The 15,975-nt window shown below is 34.7% G+C and overlaps 1 protein-coding gene across 4 annotated transcripts in view; it reads left to right on the top strand.

Moving 5' to 3' along the window:
• Positions 1 to 15,975, top strand: part of NEGR1 (neuronal growth regulator 1) — an 886,597-nt gene that overhangs the window by 582,686 nt on the left and 287,936 nt on the right. For all 4 annotated transcript variants that reach the window (NM_173808.3, XM_011541200.4, XM_017000961.3 and 1 more), the window contains exon 4: positions 1,715 to 1,846. In NM_173808.3, coding sequence (NP_776169.2) covers positions 1,715 to 1,846 — 132 coding nt within the window. The remainder of the gene's footprint in view (positions 1 to 1,714; positions 1,847 to 15,975) is intronic.

The raw sequence follows: 15,975 nt of genomic DNA, 5'->3' as shown, positions 1-15,975 counted from the left end.
TTATTCACTATTATGAGACTAGCATGGAAAGACCAGCCCCCATGATTTAATTACCCGCTAGGTCCCTCCCACAACAAGTGAGAATTCTGGGAGATACAATTCAAGTTGAGAGTCGGGTTGGGGCACAGCCATACCATATTATTCTGCCCCTGACCCCTCCAAATCTCATGTCTTCACATCAGTACCTGATGTAGTATATTAATGTTCCTCATACTTTAATTTATATTTAATACCATCCTTACTCTTTATAATTTAAGTTATATTTTAAAAATTCTTGGAAGTGAAGTGTTTTGTTTTTTTAATATATATTTCAGTAGGTTTTACAGACACATTTAAGCCTAGAGTATCTTCGTTATAATAGTGAAAATAAGACTAAAAGAGCCAACTACCACTTCAGAAGTTTTACATTTCCCTTCTGTACAAGGATTAGATAGATAAATGGAAATACGACTTAATCATATATATTCTAAACACTAAAGGTTTCAATTAGCAAACTCATAGTTATCTGGAGGGCAGACCATGCCACAGTTAATAAAGGCCCAGACACAGAAGTGCATGGGGGAACACTGGGGGAAAATTATTGGGATGGACTTTAGATTTGGAGGGCCATAACTAAAATTTATTTTGTTTGTTTCATTAAAATGGAACATTCTTACTAGTTCTCCAACTTCTATATCATTACAGTGGTTTTGACAAGATAGAAAGGGGAAGATAGAAATAATATTGACTTTTGAAAACAAACAATTTAATGGAAGCATTGCTTCATTCCATAATTCCCTTTGATATGCACTGGAATGTGATTTTTTTCAAGGCCTGTGCAAGGAGGTAGAAGGGTCTCCTCTCTTGAAATTCACAAAGGCTTATTCTACCTTTGCCACACTTCTGATAATTAGGATCCTGCTCAATGACTCAATGCTTTCAAATAAACAAAAATTCCATTATTAAAAGAAGGAGCCTTTATTTTCTCAAATCTCATTCATTTGGGGGCAGTCTTTCTTCTGTTATTACATCTTTATATTTCTATTCTGCTGCTATTTTTTGTCACATAGAATGTTTTCCCATGCATATTTAAAAATAAAGATAATTTAGTTTGCTTTTATGAAAACTTAACCCTTAGAGAGTCATAATGATTTTTTCCAAGATTTATTGCGTGAGTTATATATAGCATGTACACTGTACCTTTCTTGGCAGCATTAATACTTTTGGAAACCAAAATATAGCAATGGTTAAATATATATACTTTTTTCAAGACATCTGACTTGAATCCTTGAATAAGGGTAGGAGATTTCCCCCAAAAGAAAAGTAACATTTAGTTAGGTTAAGTGTCAAGTTTCTAGCTCACACAGTAGAGAAGTCAATATGTACCAAGTCATATTAGTGAATTTCATCTACACTGCTCAGAGGTTGTTGAACTCAATTACAGAAATGTGCAGAGTCTATTTGATGTGTGAAGAGGTTAGGAGACCACAATCAATTAAAAAGAACACATGTATATCCTGTTCTGGGGAAATAGTTGTTATAATATACCTCGTTCTGCTTCTGCTTTTTCTCTGAGTTTTCCTCTGAACATAGAAGAACAAAAGGTTTAATAATTCCCCAGTTTCATTTGGAATTGTTTTGTCAGCAGTATCTTGTAGGAAGTCATGAAATTGTTGTTTTACTTGAATGAAGCCTCAGGCGGCTACAATTAAACATGCTGTATTCTTTTTTATAGCAAAACCATTTGAAAATGGACAATATTTGGACATTTATGGAATTACAAGGGACCAGGCTGGGGAATATGAATGCAGTGCGGAAAATGATGTGTCATTCCCAGATGTGAGGAAAGTAAAAGTTGTTGTCAACTGTAAGTGTCATCACCTTTTATCAAGATAAGTTCTGAGAAAAGATAAAACACCTTGAAAAATTCTGACTGAAATTTATGTTGCTGTTTTTAAGAGGTTGTCTATTGGTAAAAATCACCTACTAACACTGAAGACGTGTAGATGTTGAAATGTTGGTTAAATTGGTTAATGTAACAACAATTGTCCCAAGTAAACCCACAATAATTCAGTCTGATGTATGGAGTGAAATGTGTTTAATACTCTCCTAATCCCTGGCATTCTAAACTGTGGTGTCCTTACCTCAAAAGCACTGTAGCCATATGCTGGTGTTTTCCTCATGAGCTTTACCTGAAGTGCACTAACACTAAATTTAAGTGCGTAACTCCCAATCAAGCCTGATGAAAATGAAGTATACTCATCTGTACTCAAAGAAAAGAGCTGAAGTGTGATGCTTCTGTTAGTTGGGTGACTTATTTCTATTTCGTTTGGGAAAAAGAAAGTGAAGAAAGAATTTTTCCATAAGCATTGTTGTTAAGAAGTTAGAATATAAATTGGATACCTGCAGAACCGTCAATGCTAGTATGTTACACACTTTTCCTCAATGCTCCCACCACACTGATATAAGATGATTTTCCAGTAACATCCTATTATATATCTTATGATTTCAACAGCAATGACTACAATCGTTTTTACTTTTCAAAAATCTCCCCTAAGTCTTTATCTAAAAAATGTTCATACTGTTTAACTTCTTCCAATAAAATACCTTTGGGATAATTGTATTTTACCCAAAGTATTTACAAACTATAGTTTTCATTTTTAAAATTCTACTTACTTATCTTTCTATATATGGTCCTTGCTAATAATGTGCACGTGGTATTATGCTGCAGATCAGAAGAAATTGTTCCAAATATATCCAGAAATGTTAAAGCTAATCAGCAGTTGTTTCATATTAATATGAGTCTTTCAGTCTCATGGGCCAAAAAATAACTTTCAAAACACTTCTAACAGTTGAGCTGTACACCAGAGCAAATCACTGTCATCAACTAACATTTGTCAGTGACTAATCTATATACTTAGGGTTGAACTGTCTCTATTATACTGCACAAATGTGCATGATACCAAGTCAGGAGGCAGTTTTTGGAGCAGGATTTCTCATGGAGTGTTCTGCAAACAAATTGTAGTAAAATTGCCAAAGAAACTCATTAAAAATGGAAAACTCCTGGTACCCACATCAGCCATGCTGAATCAGAATCCTTGGGGTTGGGAGTGTATGGCCTGGAAACCTGAATTTTAAGAGGTTCCCACTGATTCTCAGGACTCTTATTGCAGAGAGCTACTGCTCATCCCTCTGGAACTCTCTGAAATAAGAGGTAACAAACAAGTAAAAATTCCTGATCATTTATCACTAGCCATGCTTTTCTGAATATGTGTATACTGATTTTATTGTTGGAGGGTTGAGGGCTTGGGAAGTGGAGGGGAGGGAAGAGAGACATATATCTACTAAGGAAAGAATATTTTTAGCAGTGAGCACTAAGAAATGAAAAAGCAGAGTAAAATCTATCAAATAAACAAGGCACCCAGCCCAGCAATCCTCTTAAACTCCAAGACCCAAGAGGTCTTTAAAACGATGTCTCTGATAGGGATGAAATTGAAAACCCAGCTGCTGTACAGATTTGCATGGGACCTATACTCCATATACAAGCCACAATTGTTTTTGGATTAACACTTTTTATTCTTCTGACTTTAGTTTGTTGCCACTTATTTAATCGGATTCTCTTTTCCCTAGTCAAGCAGGAAATTTAGACCGAGAAAGTCAACTTAAGGAGGCAGAAACTTGAGTAGGGAACTAAATAGATAGAAGAGAGTCTATCCATAAAGCAAAAGAACAGAAACTGGGTAAAAAAGATACCAGGAACGCTGAAGAGTCTACAGCAGTTTCATGGATACAGTGGACAAAGACAAAAGGCAATGTATTACTCATAGCAATAGAAGTAGTCAGAGTGTTGTCATTTTCTTGCATCAGTTCCTTAAGACCCAGTTACTACAAGGTGATAAGATGAGGGCTAGGTGACAACTGTACATAGTGGGTTTATGTCATAGTTGAAGCATCCTGAGCTTTGGAAAACTCTTTTTAAAAAAAATATATAATGGCAGCAAACAAACCTGCCCTTTGCCATAGAGAGGGAAATTATCTTTATTAAACTGGATTGTAAACAAATCTGCCCTTTACTCCATAGGGAGAACTACTTCTTTCTTCCAAGACTGAAAAGATAGGAACAAAAGCTGTCAGTGTCTCTGCTTACAAAGTGTGCAGAAATGTGAAAGACCCATGCAGAATTCTCTTCTAACACAAGATGGGAGCTGGAACATTTGAGGTAGAGCCTGAAGACATTCTGTCGGGCTAACAAAGGTGTTTTAGTGGCTTTGTCAGGGTGTCAGACACTCTAGAATAGGTAGAGAATAAGACTTTGTTAATCACTTTAACTTAAGAGGGAAAACAGTAGGAAAAAGGGAGAAAATTTTAAAACAGTAGGGAAGTGCTTTTTAAATCATGACAGAGGCTACCTTTTTTAACAATAAATTTCAGGTAGATAAGTACAGTTATAAGTCGACATATTGCTGCAGACATAATATTAACTTGTCTCATATTAAGAAAATAGACCCAACAGGATTTTCAAATGATTTAAACAATCAGTTTTGCCATTTGCTTCTCCCTGAGTCATACCTTTGATAATTCACCCTTTTCCAAATGTTCCATGAAAAACTGTTTAATACTGGTTTTGTTTAGTACTAATTGTGTTTAATACTGATGCCACACATATATAACTGATATCTCAGGTGTGAAGGGATGTGATTGTGAGTATGTCTGAAAAAGTTTCTTGTTATAAAAGGTTTGCAAAGTGTTAATTTTGTGAACTTGGCCCTTTAAAGTCAAAAATTGAGAGCTACTTCTAGATTTTGCTGAGCTGATTTTCCAGAGGAAATTAGCCAAAGCCTACTGAACAAAGTTTAGTTTGTCAAAGCCCAAAATTGAGTACAGTGGTCTACGTTACCAGCATGGACTTGCACATCCCCTGATAACCTGAAGATTCCCTAAAGACAGTATCATGCCAGGTTCAAGACAGCCCTTCCTTTCATCTTTATTAATCAATATTGATTGTGCGCATAGAATTACAGTAGCTTCATGAGTTATAATTTGAAGAGAAACTTTGCCCCTTTCCCCAAATGGGGTTCAAGATGAAATATAATACATTTTCATAAGCTCCGGTAGATTCAGTTATGTGGTAAGTCAATTTGAGAAGATTTAGGTTCCCTGAAATTTAGAAATGTTTAATGTTTTATTATTTCTCTAATACACCTTCCACGTTCACTATATATAGAAAATATACATATACAATAAATAACATCATACCTGTCACTGTGGATTTCTATTCAATTTAATTACCTAGCACTTTGTTGAGGTAATTGATATAATTGACTATATAATTGACTATACAGATAGAGCTAGTTGGTTGGTTGAATAAATCAGTTCATTTTGAGTTATTCACAGAAAGCCTTACTATAGATAGAAAGAAATTTTTAAGCATTAATGCAATGGGTTATTTCTAAGTAGGGGGATATTAGGTGTTTATTCTCCAAGTCCTTATTCGTAACTTTTTCCTTATGTGTTTGTGTATGCGTGTATTTCTTGTCCACTTTTTAAAAAATTAAAATAATGAAAAGGGGTCATGAAAATTATCATAATTAAACCTTGTGACACACACAAACACACACACACACACACGAGAAAAAAAAATTGACACATTTGATTAAGCCAAAGGGAGCTAGTGAATGTAGACTTGGACAGATTCCCCATTTTATTTGCATTCATGTTCTGTTCTTAGCAGAAGCCTTGTGGACACTAGGTTCATAGTTGTTATTGTAAATTACAAAATGAAAGAATGAATGAGTCTCAGAAAGCCCATGGATTCAAGTGAATTGAAAAACAAAACAAAAAAACAGGACGCAGGAAAAATCTGGTTAGAAAAGGGAAGATCACAGTGAAAATCAAAAAGCTGATTTATTAGAAATCAAATATAGAATTTGAAAAATTTAGAAAGTGTGATGAATCAAGTAATATAGATTTGTGTAAGAAAGTAGAATCCCAGGGATAAGAAATCAGCAAGGAGTGGAAGACCTACCCCTTTAATATGAAGGTTACTAATAATAGTAAAATGAATGGGGTTCCCTAATCTTGTGACAGAGGCCATCTGTTCTCCACTCCATTTGTATGTATTCTTCCAGTTAAGAGTGCCAGTTTTGGAAATGTGGGCCTTGTGGTCAGATATAATTTACTATAAGTATTAGCAGATAACTTACTGGTCCATAATTTACTGGGCCTTTGAAACCTTGGGTGAGGTACTTTACTTCTCTGACTCTCAGTTTTCACTTCTGTAAATTCAGGGCAATAATACCCTATTTATATATATTTGTAAATGTATAAATGTTATAAATATATACATATATGTGAATGTAAGTGAACTGACTCCAGAATGTCAGCTCTATGTGGAAACGGATTTTGCTGTCCTTTGTACACTGATGTACTGATGTGTTCCTGTTACTTAGAATAGTACCTGGTCCATAAAAAGGTGTCCAAAAATAGTTGTTGAATAAATAAAGGGTTAAACAGTTTAGAGTCCTCCAGGTGAATCATTCTACTAGGCAAAATAGAGAAAAGATATTAGGTTTGCCTCACAATTAATTTTTTTTCTCCCAGGAAAATTAGTAGATGGTGTCTTGACTAATATACTTCTAATACTGTTTTTTTCTCCCCAAATATCCAGGTGGATTCAATAAAGATAACCTGAAATTTGCATACTGTTTTTACTCAGAGAGAAGCAGCACTAATTCCATTTTTTATAGATAAGAAAATTGAGATGCAGAGATATTAAAACATTTAATAATTGCCCTGATTTTGAAGAACAAAACAGATGTGAGTAAAAAGAGCTGCTAATTGGAAAAAAACAAAGAGCCAACCAGACTAAGGTGAAAAGAGCTCTAGACATTATTTCAATTTTTACTCATGAAAGTCAGATCTAAATATTGACCATTTTATTTGGTATCAGAAATTATTTTGTACACACGTTTTTAGTAAAATAGAATTGATTAATTCTTCCTATGATCAAATAAATAGGAAAGTCATTTTTGGGTGTGCTGTGAAGTAAGTTTTTTATCCAATAAGTTACAGGCACATATTTGTGCATTATTTTGCATCTGCTACGTATTCATTTATGCAAATATGCACGTTATCTTCCAATATAACTAGCTCCAAACATGTGGAATTGAATGTTCCAATTAGTATAACTTAGTACAATTATACGGAAGCTTGAAATGAGAAGCCACTGGGGAGTAAGAGGAGGAGGCTTCTAGGGAAATGACCAGTTTTTTAAAGCTATTCCTAAAGTTTTCTCCAAAGCCTTGGGCAATTTAGGCAATATGTCAAACTTAAGACTAGAAGAAATTGCAGATCACAAATGGCCATCACCTTGAATAAAGGGAAAATCTCGGTGTTCAAAGTTTGAGTAGGGCAAAGGCACTATCATGGGACTAGAAGAAAACAGAGTTATTTGAATTCATAGTCATCACCTTAGTGTTTTATTTCTGGATCCATTTTATGCCCCTAACTTTACTTTTCATTTACTTCATCTTTCATATCTGCTTGTAATTTAGGATACTCTTCTGTATTTTATGTTTTTTTTTAAGCTAATTAACACTTATTTGGAACAACTCAGGGGAGAAAAAGGCATAGAGTTGTCTTTTAAATAAAGTATTAGTTCCTATAACATCTCCAATGATGATACACTTTGGTACATCTACATTTATATATTCACTTAGTTATTTACTTACTGCTTACTATAAGAGAATCAAGGTGCTACAGCCTGGGCTACTGTTTTTCAAACTCATTATCCAGGAAAGGAGAAAAATAAAAGAAACCCATAGTTTTAATACAGTGTGACAAGTGCTTTGATAAACCAATCGTAAGGTGCTGTGCAAGGATATAAGATATACACCAAACTCAACCTTGGGGTTTCACTGAAAGCTTCTAATAGGCCTTAGCCCTGATGGAGTTTAAAGGATTAAATTGAATTCAACAGATTTCTAAAATTAAAAAAAAAAAAAGAAAGAAAGATCTTCCAGTCAGAAGAAACATCATTTGCTTAGCTTCATAAGAGTTATGGGACAGAATGTTGTTTGTTTAGTCAGGGTACAAAGGGCTGGGTCAGATCAAGACACAAAACAGAAAAGAAGGTTAAGCATTGTGGAGTGAAGCAGGACCGGATGAGGTGAGAGTTAGTGAATTTCCATAGGCATACTTAGATCCAGTGTTTCATAATGAAAAAAGAATAAATTTGAGATGCTAGAACTGCTCAGAGGTTATCTGAATATTAATCAAATGAATTTAAATACTTTTATAGTTTACATTCACAAAGAATACTTGGAAGATTTCTGTTTTTTTCATGGCAAGAGTAAGAGAAGAGATTAAAACGATAATAGTGAGAACAATGCCAACCAAAAGAGATATGAGGAGCTAAGAAATATGAAGGAAACTTCCTAAAAGAACTGAACATTAAATATTAGAAACATCAATAATCACCCAAAAAATAAGTAAAATACTTCTTTTCTTAATACAACAAAATTGAAAAAAAACTAAGAATTAAACCTTTTTTATTCACCTTGGGACTTTCATGGTGTAAAAAGTTAACATTTAATTCTGTGATTTCTATAATCCCTCAGTTGAAGTAATACTGTTATTAAACATGCAGTTAAAGAATACATGAATTTTTCTATTGAGGGAGACATAATTGGACCTTTGTTTTAAATATTAGACATACAGTTCAATTAATGACTAGTGTGCCAAGACTATTTTTACTTAATGAGTCTGATATCCAGTTTAACTGAAGTGTATTCTCCCATGCACTTATCTTTGTTAAGAGGATTTAGTGTTAAGGGTCTATGAGTGATCTTTTGCCTTTTGTTTACGGAACATCAACATGCTTCTGTAGTAATGAAATATGCATATTTTTATTATTTCTCCTTTTCCTAAAAGTGAAAAATAAAACAATTTCTTTCCTTTAACACAGGAGCAAAATGTTTGCTAGATGGGAGCCTGTGTTTATTTTGTTTGTAGTTGTTTTTAGGTTGGCAATCATCACTTCAAAAAATATACATGAAGTAATAGGAATAATAGAGTTTGACTATGAGCTAGCAGTAAGAAAGCAATTTCTAACAGGGTAAAATACTCTGGGTTGAAAATGACTCCACGCCAAACGGAAGAAAAGTGATAAAGTCAAAGTCAGGAAAGAACAAACAACGGCAAATCTCAATCTCTCTCTCTCTCTCTCTCTCTCTCTCTCTCTCTCTCTCTCTCTCTGTCTCCCTCTATATATATATGTGTGTGTGTGTGTGTGTGTGTGTGTGTGTGTGTTATATAACTTATATGTGTGCATTTGTGATGGTGTATTCCTCTAGATTCATGTTCTAATAAGCAGCCAAAGGACCAAACCCTGAAAATCATCGCAGGGTGCCTTTTGCTAAATATACTCTTCAAAATGATGTAGAAGTTTCAAACATTACTTTAGTCAGTACAAACATATAGTTTATAACGTGTATTTATCTAAATCCAGCTTTTTCAGCATGTTTCCTAGTGCTTCTAGAAAAAAAAGTTTTGCTTCAGTACGTGAAGCAAGATAATTTATGGATTGAATTCTTTTAAGCCAATATGTGAGAGCCATTTATAGAATGAACAATACTGAATTAATCCCCTTGGGTCTTCGCCATAGCATCATTATTAAACTTCAGAGGAATTGCCAAATATGCTTATGTCTGACAATGCACGTTTGTGTGTTTTGTGTATGTGTATATGTGTGTGAAGGGAGAGAAGTGGAATGATTAGGGGCAGAGTATGGTAGAAATAGTATAAATAATAGCAGTATGTACAAGAATTATGGCAGATAAATTTGGGACAAAAGCATCCAAATTGTGGGGAAACATCCTTGGTACATTCAAGCTTGCTAGCTTGTCTTCACTCATTTCTTTCTTATTTATCTATTCTCTCTATCTGTTAAATGATAAATGTTAAAATAACGTTAAATATCTGTTAATGATATTTACTGTTATTTTACTTACATTTATTTAATGTTAATTAATTTACATTACATTTATTTAATTATATTTATTATATTAAATTTATTTAATGTTAATTTATTTGTGACTGCCATATTATTCGTTTCCTCTCCTCTCTTTCCTCTTATTTCTACTCAGATGTATAGTGATACTAAACCAACTTTTGAAAGACATCTGTATAATGAAGATTAATAATGAATTTTATTCAGTCACCTTGGAAACATTTTAAATATATGGATTGCCAAATAATCACTCACCAAATATACTGAATTATTCAGTCTATATTTACCTATAAATCAATGAGCATAACTGCTTTTTCAAAATTTACTAGGTGATAAAATTTTGGGTTTAGATATTACAGGATAATGAAAATAAAACAGAAGAGAAAGGCAGAAGATCCGAATTCTGTTTTTAATTCAGTCACTTAACTAATTATACAACTTTGGGCAAAAGACTTAAATCTAGGTCTCAATCTCCCCATTTAGAAAATGAGGGAATCACTCTCTGGTACCACCTACTCCTGACATTCTGATGTTTTTCTGATAGTTATTTAAGTTTTATAGAGACTGCATGAATTCACCTCCTAACAGGCAGGGAGCAAAGGTATAAAGCCACTGTTTGGCTTCAGTCAAATGATTCTGGATAATCTCAGACTTTTGCTTTGTGAATTCTTTGAGAAATTAATAAGGATGATAATTTCGTTCTATTACGCATTGTTGGCAAATCTGGGCAAACTTTTCATCCTTTAAAATGTAATTCATGTGAAGAATAAGTACAGTAATAAAGACGTAAATTTCAGAGAACCTTAAAGGAGAAATTCTGTTTATGCAATGGAGTGTGACAGAGGATGACAAAAATGGGATTTGGAATCAGACGTGAGTTTTAATCTTAGCTCAGTCACTTATAAACTATGGGATACTGGGGAAATTAGCTAATTTCTCAGAGGCTCAGCTTTCCTATATAAAAAAACTGGAGACAATTATAAACACCTTAAAGATTGGTTGTGAGCTTTGTCATAATACATTTAAAACAACAAGAATGACTGCTGCAAGGCCAATGATTTTGTGTATCAATAGTATCAGAAAGTAGCATTTTGTTTACATGTCAACCTTCCTCTGTAGCCTGTGAACTCTTTAAAAAGGGAAACTCTTGGGAGGCCAAGGAAGGTGGATCACCTCAGGTTAGGAGTTCGAGACCAGCCTGGCCAACATGGTGAAACTCTGTCTCTACTAAAGATACAAAAATTAGTTGGGCATGGTGGCGTGCACCTGTAATCCCAGCTACTTGGGAGGCTGAGGCAGGAGAAACTTGAACCTGGGAGGGAGAGGTTGCAGTGAGCCAAGAATGTGCCATTGCACTCCAGCTCGGGGCGACAGAGCAAGACTCTGTCTCAAAAAAAAAAAAAGATATATACATATCTTTTATATATATATCTTTTATATATATATCTTTTATATATATCTTATATATATATTTTATATATCTTTTATGTATATATCTCATATATATATAATCTATCTATCTATCTATCTATCTATCTATATATATATATATATATGAAAAGGGAAACTCCTCCAGTTCACCTTTGTTTTCCGGGCAATGTAACACAGTGACTACGAAGTCAGGCTCTGTAGCTGGGCACCCTGGCTTTAAATTCAACCTGGGTCACTTACGACCATGCAGACTTGGTCAAGTCATTAAACTTTGTGTATGCCAATTTCTTCAATATAAAGTGAGAGCATGAGGATTAACTGAGTTAAGACATGAGATAGCTTAGTGCATATTATTATTCCCAGTACCTAGCACAGTAACTGATAATCAATGTATGTTGATAGAATAAATAAATAAATATAAAATATGCACACCTACAATTCTACAGTTGAAAAATGTTCATAAAATTGCCAAATTTCTTCATCTTATAGATGTATGTATTTGAATTTAGGTAGCTTTGGAAATTAATTCATGGAATTCATGGAAGGGCTAAGAATGAAACTTTAAAATCCTAATTCTAGGTCTGAGGCTGCTTTCACTATACTAGCCTGCTTTCACGTAAATTGAAAAAGGATCCTAATTATTCTCAACAAACTGTGTAAACTAGGGAGACTTTTAGAAAGATAGTAAACTCTGCAGGATGAGAAGAGAGGATCACTGTGTATGAAAAGAAACTATTTCAATAACCAGAATGTGCGCAGGTGCTAGCTGTCAGAATGGCTGACACTGAAATAAAGTGCAGAACCACGGAAGTTAGGATTCCCAGTGAATAGAGAAAACAATTACAATAAATAATCCTTTAGAACGATGCTGCACTCAGAATAGGTTTGTTCACATACTGTGTGAAATAAGAGCTTTTGTTTAATAGTGAATATAATGAAATCCCAGCATCATGCAGTCAGCCTGCTTGCTGCTACACAGAAAAGCTAACAGCAGTGCAAAAAACAAACAAATAAAAACAAAACAAAATGCCCACTGTGCCAGGGGCATTAAACACTTATGTATTTCATAGATAAAATGAAAGATAACAAAATTTTATTTAGGGCACTGTGGGTGTGTTCCATGTTTATAAGATTCACTACTCTACTCTTAATGCCTTGAGAAGCATATATATTCAGTCTACCGATAACTTAAAAGCAGTTTGGTGGCAATTATAAAGACAAAATATCTTAAGCCTCCTCCCCAGTTGTTTAAAGGTTTAAGTTAGCAATTTAGATAAAACATATACATTTTTAAGTAATATGAGACATCGTAGCCTAATGCATATTAATTTTTCTGCAATAAATCATACTTTGACCTAGTCTAAACAAATAAGTGTTCTGTATCCTAGAACAGATGTTGAGAGTGTTTTCCTCATTTAGTATAACCAGCTAGTGTACATTTACATAATAGGATGGAGGGAAGTATATCAGTAATTAGCTGAAGTTCAGAAATGCTACATTTGTTAATGCTGTTTCATCTTTGTGAGCATATTGGGTTTGCAAACCCTTCTGTTTTTCCCTGTGGATGTCAAAAGGACTTTGAAGCTCCATGTAATTCACTTGAGGATGCAGTCTCTCATGAATTGTTCTGTACTGAGAACAGCTGATGATTTGTGAATTCTTTAGGAGTCAAGTTGTGTAATTCTGACTAATAGTTCAGTGTCCTGATAGAATTTTCTAGATTATTCAATGGGGTAAAGGTAATTTATCGAATACTGTTTTCATCTTCTTCCTGCGCCTACTGCTTGGACTACATTGTCTAGCCTGGTTTGGGGTTAGCTTTGGCCCTGTGACTGAGTTCTAGTGCAAGAAATGTAAGCAGAAGTGACATGGGCCACTTCCAGGCAAGGCCTATAAAACTTCCCACGCATGCTCTGCTATGCTTATTTTCCTTTCTAGTTAATGGGAATACTAACCCATTAGCTTTCAGGATGACCTTGAAAGCTACATGTTGAAGATAACAAAGCTGCCCTTGTGTGAGCCCCTGAATGATTCTGTGCAGCAGAATATCCCTACCCCTACCCCCTTTCACTCCCCACCTTTCACTGAACTAAATTATTATGGGCTTTTAGGTGAGTGGGAACCAAACTTTTTTTGTTGCCTCATTGTATGTTTGAGTCTATTTGTTCCCAAAGTTCAGCCTCCTCTGACTACTACAGTCAAGAATATAGGGCCAAATATACTGAATTCAATAAAAAATTTTGCATCACATCTTACTTCAAAATTTTTGCCTGAAAGCAATGATAAAAAGCTTCCTGAGAAGAGTAGAGAGATAATGGATTTTTCTTTCCTCCTATATGAAGTATAGCCTACCAAATTTCTGTTTGCAAATTTTGTGAGTCATAGTGAAAAAAAAAAGTCTATGAGTCTCATGCCTTTGAGGCTACCTATGATTTTGCTCAGAAACACAACTGGATTTAAAATAGCATCTGGCCATTAACCTCTGACATAAACTTTTCTGACAATAGTTTTTGAAACCAGCTAAGCTCCGTCGCGATGCCAAAAAATTGGCATAAACAAGATTTCATAAGTTTCTTCAAAAAAGTATTTAATTCACGTTTATATAATATAAATTTAGAAATTGAATACCAATGATCTGGATATGAAATCCAAGATTATACTTTTTTAAACACCAGTAATTGACAGATTTAGGTGAATAGAAGAATGGAGAGAAAAATAAATTTGGTGTGGGGAGGAAGGGGGAAGTGGAGTACACACGTGGAGAGGCAATGAAAGCACGCTCTATGTTATCTTTCATTTGCTAAAGAAAAGTAACCTCGGCCTGCGGTGGCTCATGCCTGTAATCCCAGCACTTTGGAAAGCCAATGCGGACAGAGAACAAAGTCAGGAGTTCAAGAGCAGGCTGGCCAATATGGTGAAACCCCATCTTTACTAAAAATACAAAAGTAGCCAGGTGTGGTGGTGCATGCCTGTAATCCCAGCTACTGGGACGGCTAAGGCAGGCGAATCGCTTGAACCCAGGAGGCGGAGTTTGCAGTGAGCCAAGATCATGCCATTGCACTCCAGCCTGGGCAAAAAGAGTGAAACTCCATCTCAAAAAAAAAAAAAAAAGTAATGTCAATTAATTATTGAATTTGATAATCCAGGAAACATGAATAATATCACTAAATGCTAAAAGTAAACCCTATTGTAAATGAATGCAGGAAACATAAACAGAAGTCTTTTTACTTGTAGCCAAATGGGAAGAGAAATCCATGAAGTATAAAAATTGAAACACGCACAAAAAGCGAAAAGTAAATGAAAACATCAGTAATGTAACAGACTAACATGATTAATTGAACACTAAAGGGAAAAATTACTGGGTTTGTGCTTTAATACATTGGTATTTATTATATACCGATATAATAAACAATGATATATTGCTTGTGTAAGACAAACCTAAAGCAAAATGAAGAAAAAATACCTTAAAGAATTAATAAAGATGTATTGAAGCAATTCAAAATAAATGAAAACAGGTTAAAAGATATTTTTTTAAATTGTGAAGTTTGAGAGAACACAGTACAAAGCCTAGTAATCTTCCCTCATGAGTTTATAACCAACTGAAAGATAGAAGCAGGAATATGACAAATTGAAAGCCAACCATATTACCGGGAGAATGGAGAGGAATCAATGTAGGTACCTCCTGAGAAGGATGGTTCTAAACAAGGAAAGCACCAAGCAGCATTCCTAATTTCCTCTTCCAATTTAACATTCTGATACTTCATCTTCCTCTCATTGGAATGGCCACACAGGGCAGGGAGATTATTCTCGAAAGAGACTCTACATATAGAATTATGAGGTCAGGGAAACTGAAGTTTCTTCCCTAACAATCCATACCAGTAAACATTTATAGATGAAATAATATAGAATGTGCACGCACGCACACACACACACGCACACAAAAATAGATACATACATACACACAAACATACGTTAGTATGTGTTGTATGTGTTTATATAAAGTCTTCTTAGAAAGACGTTAAAAATATATACAAATGTACAAACGCTTAAAGAAAGTTTTAATTAAAAACCCTCATCCTTTGCAAGATTACGTAGGAAAAGAATGATAAAATAATTTTAATAATATTAGTAATATTTAATTAATATGCGTTATAATTTTTTTTTGAGATGGAGTCTTGCTGTGTCACTCAGGCTGGAGTGCAGTGGCGCGATCTGGGCTCACTGCAAGCTCCGCCCTCCCGGGTTCACGTCATTCTCCTACCTCAGCCTCCCCAGTAGCTGGGACTACAGGCGCCCACCACCACGCCCGGCTAATTTTTTGTATTTTTAGTAGAGACAGGGTTTCACCGTGTTAGCCAGGATTGTCTCGATCTCCTGACCTCGTGATCTGCCCGCCTGGGCATCCCAAAGTACTGGGATTACAGGCGTGAGCCACTGCACTCAGCCCCGCATTTTAAATCTTGTATCCTCAGACAGTAAACATTGTTCATCTACAGAATTTTTACATTGTTTATCTACCAAACCACAAAGAACTCAATACATCTTCCAAAGCAGAA

This window comes from Homo sapiens, chromosome 1 (assembly GCF_000001405.40).
Source record: "Homo sapiens chromosome 1, GRCh38.p14 Primary Assembly".
Classification (NCBI taxonomy): domain Eukaryota; kingdom Metazoa; phylum Chordata; class Mammalia; order Primates; family Hominidae; genus Homo; species Homo sapiens.
Note: the sequence above shows the minus strand (reverse complement) of the source record. Positions and strands in the feature narration are given on the sequence as shown.